The sequence below is a fragment of the Homo sapiens genome, chromosome 13, assembly GCF_000001405.40.
Source record: "Homo sapiens chromosome 13, GRCh38.p14 Primary Assembly".
In the NCBI taxonomy this organism is placed as follows: Eukaryota; Metazoa; Chordata; class Mammalia; order Primates; family Hominidae; genus Homo; species Homo sapiens.
In genome coordinates this window covers 90,271,966-90,276,968 of record NC_000013.11, presented here as the reverse complement: position 1 = coordinate 90,276,968, position 5,003 = coordinate 90,271,966, and the positions used below count along the sequence as shown (strand labels likewise).

General features: G+C 35.9%; 1 long non-coding RNA gene across 1 annotated transcript; it reads left to right on the top strand.

The window, feature by feature from the left end:
- The first annotated feature begins 637 nt into the window (after nucleotides 1-637).
- On the top strand, nucleotides 638-3,122 carry LOC124903228 (uncharacterized). Its single transcript, XR_007063895.1, has 2 exons — nucleotides 638-718; nucleotides 2,716-3,122. It is a non-coding gene; the product is annotated as an uncharacterized LOC124903228 (long non-coding RNA).
- Nucleotides 3,123-5,003: the final 1,881 nt, after the last annotated feature.

Sequence of the window (5,003 nt, the reverse complement as noted above, 5' to 3'; positions counted from 1 at the left end):
AAATATGACCCCCTCAACTCTTACTACCTCTGTGGCTTTAGTGTTTACAGATATGCAGGTAAAACTGATACTAGGCATAAGACAAAATCTGCCAACCTGAAACCAGTGAAATAATTGCAAATTTGCAGAAGAGAGATTTGCAAGTAAAATCAATGGAGATAGAAATGCTGGGCTGATGTATGTGTAGGGGGATAAAAGTTAGGTTATCTGTGAATACATTGACTGGAAAATTGCTCTGAAGCTTTGATAATGACACCCTTACTTCCAGGTAATACCACCACCATTTCTGGGAATATTTTTTGCTGCTCTTAATTTATGACCATAACAGAGTCCTGTTTAAACATGTCAAAAAAAATGTATTACGGGTATAGGACCTTTGACTTTGATCAAAATGCTGATGTAGTTGGAAGCATCTGGGATATAGCACTTTAAACCTTGGCATCAATTTGATGTTATGGATGACCAGATTGTACACCATTTGTGTGTGAATGATATGAAAAACTAGCTTGTAGTTTGTTGAGTCTCACCACTAGCCTCTATTTTAAGACCTTGATGAGTGCTTCTAAGCATCACCTCAGTAAAAATAGATTTGTATTGAAGCCAGCTGGATCTTATTCAGGAATAAATTTCAGACAGGCAAAGAAACAGCTGGAATACAGTTTCTCCTACATGGGGTACCAAAGAAGATGTATGGTTGGGTGTCCTACAAATATGAAAGGTATTAAATGACAGATGCCTATATGTTTTTTGGTTTAATAATGTGAGCTAGCAGGATAATGTAAATATAGTAAGCTTGAAATTTTCTTTATCTGCAAAAGTATGAAAAAGTGTTTTAATTATGTCAAGCCCATGATAGCTTGAGATTTTAGGATTTTGAGTATAAAATATATTTAAAAAGTATAGAAATCTTAGGCATGAAGTTCAGTTTTCCAAAGTAAATATGTCCAGGCAATTAACAGAGAGATCAAGGAATAATGTAATATCCCAGTTCCTCTGTGGCAGCACTCAAGAACTATCTCAGTTCTAGCCCCATTTATCTCTCAAAGTATACATTAGCCTAACTTCTAGCACCATAGGTTGGGTTTTCCTTTTACAATATTGACTTTTTTTGTCTAGCTTCTTTCAGGTAAGTGTGTGTGTGTGTGTGTGTGTGTGTGCACGCGCGCAAATGTGTGTGAGAGAGAAAGGGAGACAGATTCAATCACTTTACTTCATGAAGCTTGTTTTCTTAGTAATTCTATTATTATATAATATTGTGTTGTATCATTGCAAAACTATATGCATTCTACTATTGTAGGGCAGTTGCCACATCTCCAGTTTGAGATTATTATAAATAATACTTCTATAAACATACATCTACATGTCATTTAGTACACACTTTTACTTGTGTGTGATTGATATATGATAGGAAGAAGAACTGCTGGTCCTAGAAGATACAAATAATCTAATTCATAATATTCTACTAAATAATTTTCTAAAATGATTATATTAGTATAAAATTCCTCCAGTGTCAGCACAAATAGAAACACTACCTCCCAAAATTTATCATTTGTTAGTCTCCTAATTTTGGTCATTTCTGTTGGTGTGATTTGCCATTGGGATTTAAACTGAATTTTCTCAATGGTTAATGAGGTTAAGCACCTTTCTCGTATGTCTCAAGGGCATTTGCATATCTTTTTTCTTTAATGCCAATATCACATTGCATTAATTACTGATGCCTCAGACTCTTGGTTTTCTTTGGCTCTTATGACTTCCATATATATTCTAAAATCAGCATGTAATGTTCTAAAAAGTAAAAAAAAAAATATATAAAAACCTGAGATTTTGTTTGAGAATGCATTAAATATACAGAGCATTTTTCAGAGAATTGACATTCAGAACATTGAGGATTGCAGTCTATGAACATGGATAGTGATAGCATTTAGATTTCATTTATTGTTGTCAATAATATTTCATTGTTAACTGAGTGGAATGTTTGTACAATATTTATTAGGTTTGTTCCTACGTATTGAAGTTTGTGATGCTAATTGCAAATGGTTTCATTTATTATTTTCATTTTAATTATACATTATTGGAATATTAAATTACATTTGAATTTCATATATTGATCCTTTATTCAGCCCACTTCAAAAGTTCAATTACTGATTCTAATTGTTCTTTTGAAAGATTAATTAAAATTTTTTATACAAAATCATGAGTCTACAAAAAATGAGAATTTAACTTCTTCTTTTGTATCCTTATGTTTTTCATTTCTTATTCTTGCATTGTTGAATTGGATAGGAGTTAGAGTGGCATTTTCAATAGAGTTTGTGAGAAGGGAGATACATGTTTCCTTCTATCTTAGAGAAAAGCTTTTAATATTTCACCATTGAACACATTGAATGCTGACATTTGTTAGGTGTGTGTGGTAAGCAGGATTCTTAAATGGCCCATGATTTCTGGCCTCTGATATATCTACACCTTCTCCCATGTATTCAATCAAGTACTAACCTAGTTTTGATTAGTTGTCTGATAAGTTTTATCATTAAAGAGCATTATACTTTTTCAAATTCTTTTTCTTTATTCATTGAGAACTTTTTTTTTTTTCATTTTTCTGTGAATGTGAAATTGACCCAGTAGTCCCATAGACAGGTTTTTGGGGATAAACATGAAATTTGGCCCTTCTAGTCTTGAAGCTTGGAACTTACATTTTTCTAATCTCAATTTCTTCCTCAGGAAAGGTCACCCAGGCCTCTCAGAAAGTATCAAAGAACTGAAACTCACCAGATCACTGCACCAAGGCAATGAGATGCAAAATCCTTCATTCATCATGATTGCTTCCTGGCCCCACCATAGTTCCTGTTTTCTTACACATTGTTACATTTCTTCTCTGTCATGTAAACCCCTAGTTTTAGTTGGCCAGGGAGATGGAGTTGAGACTGATCTCCCATCTCCTTGAGTGCAGCACAGGATTAAAGGCTTCCTTGGCACTTCCTTAGCATTACTTTTCATCTCAGTCGTTGGCTTTCTGTGTGGCAAGCAGCAGAACCTAGAGCAAACTCCTGGTGTTTTGGTAAAAAATGTGGTAAATTAAATGATTTTGACTCTTACAATATTAAAATAAACTTCATTTGATCACGGTGCTTATATTATTCTTTCTTTACGTAGCTGTATTTACTTTGCTAGGATATTGGTTTGTGTTTTGTTTTGTTTTGTTTTTGAGACAGAGTCTCGCTCTATCACCCAGGCTGGAGTGTGGTGGCATGATCTCGGCTCACTGCAATCTCCGCCTCCTGGGTTCAAACGATTCTCCTGCCTCAGCCTCCTGAGTAGCTGGGATTACAGGTGTGCACCACCATACCCAGTTAATTTTTGTATTTTTAGTAGAGATGGGGTTTCACCATGTTGGCCAGGCTGGCCTTGAACTCCTAACCTCATGTGATCTGCTTGCCTCAACTTCCCAAAGTGCTGGAATTACAGGTGTGAGCCACTGTGCCTGGCCAGTGTTTTTTTTTTTTTTCTTTTCTGTGATTATGAGACAGGTGGACAATGGACAGGCTACATATAAAAACAGAACTTTGACCTACTACCTGCAGCAACCCAGAAGACCAAATCCCTTTTTACAATCAATAATCAGGAAGTTAGCTTGTTGTAATTTAGACTTGCAGAAAGCCAGATTTCTATCTCTAGTGACAACTCAGAAAGCTGAACAGTAACTTCTATAACAATTGGATCTAAATGGCCAGGACTTGATTAACAACTGACAGCTTTCCTAATTTTTGTCTCCTCTTCTAACTTAGGATGATGTGGTTTGCCTGTGTCCCCACCCAAATTTCTTCCTGTATTATAGTTCCCACAGTCCCCACATGTCATGGGAGGGACGCCATAATAGGTAATTTAATCATGGCAATGGGTTTTTCCTATGCTGTCCTTGTGATAGTGAATAGGTATTGCAAGATCTGATGGTTTTATAAAGGGCAGTTCCCCCACACATATTCTTTGCCTGCTGCCATGTAAGATGTGCCTTTGCTCCTCCTTTGTCTTCTGCCATGATAGTGAGGCCTCCCCAGCCATGTGGAACTCTGAGTCCATTAAACCTCTTTTTCTTTATAAATTACCCAGTCTCAGGTATTTCTTCATAGCATTATGAAAATGGACTAATACATAGGATCAGCCATAAAAAGCTTAATATGCACCCCCAATCAATCATATAGGATGTCCCTCTTCTGATTAACCCAAGAACATCTTCCCCGTCAATGGCCTCCAATCAGAGCTAACTGAAACCTTCCCATTTTTCCACTGTGAACCTTTCCTATTCTTCTGCCTACATTTGAGTCTCTGCCAAAATTCAACTGAGGGTGACTAAGTTTCCTACCATAACAAGTTCAGAATAAAAAGCCTTTGCTATTCCCATTGTTTCTTCTATATATAGTCATGTGTGGTTAAATGACTGGGATAGGTTCTGAGAAATGAACCACTAGGTGATTTCATTGTTGTGTGGTCATCAGAGTGTACTTACAAAAACATAGATGGTATTGCCTACTACACACCTAAGCTATATGGTAGAGCCTATTGCTTCTAAGCTGTAAATCTGTACAGCATATGACTGTACTGAATACTGCATGCAATTGTAACACAATGATTAGTATTTGTATATCTAAACATATCTAAACATAGAAAAGGTACAGCAAAAATATGATATAATCTTATAAGGCCACCCTCACATACATGGTCTATCATTGGCTGCAATGTCATTATGCAGCACACGAATTTACATATATTGGACAGAAATCATCATCTGGGACTTGAAAACTTAAAATATTTAAATTACGCTTTCTATATCTTCGATACATATAAAACTATTTAGTTTTTCTATTATGTATTTCAACCAGAGTATTCTGTAACTTTTGTCTCCATAGCCCAATGACATCGTCAAAACCCATGATTAGCTTCGCAGCCCATTACTGGCCACTTTCTGCTGGACTTTCTAACTTCCACTTAAATGTGGCAAATACTTTGAAGGA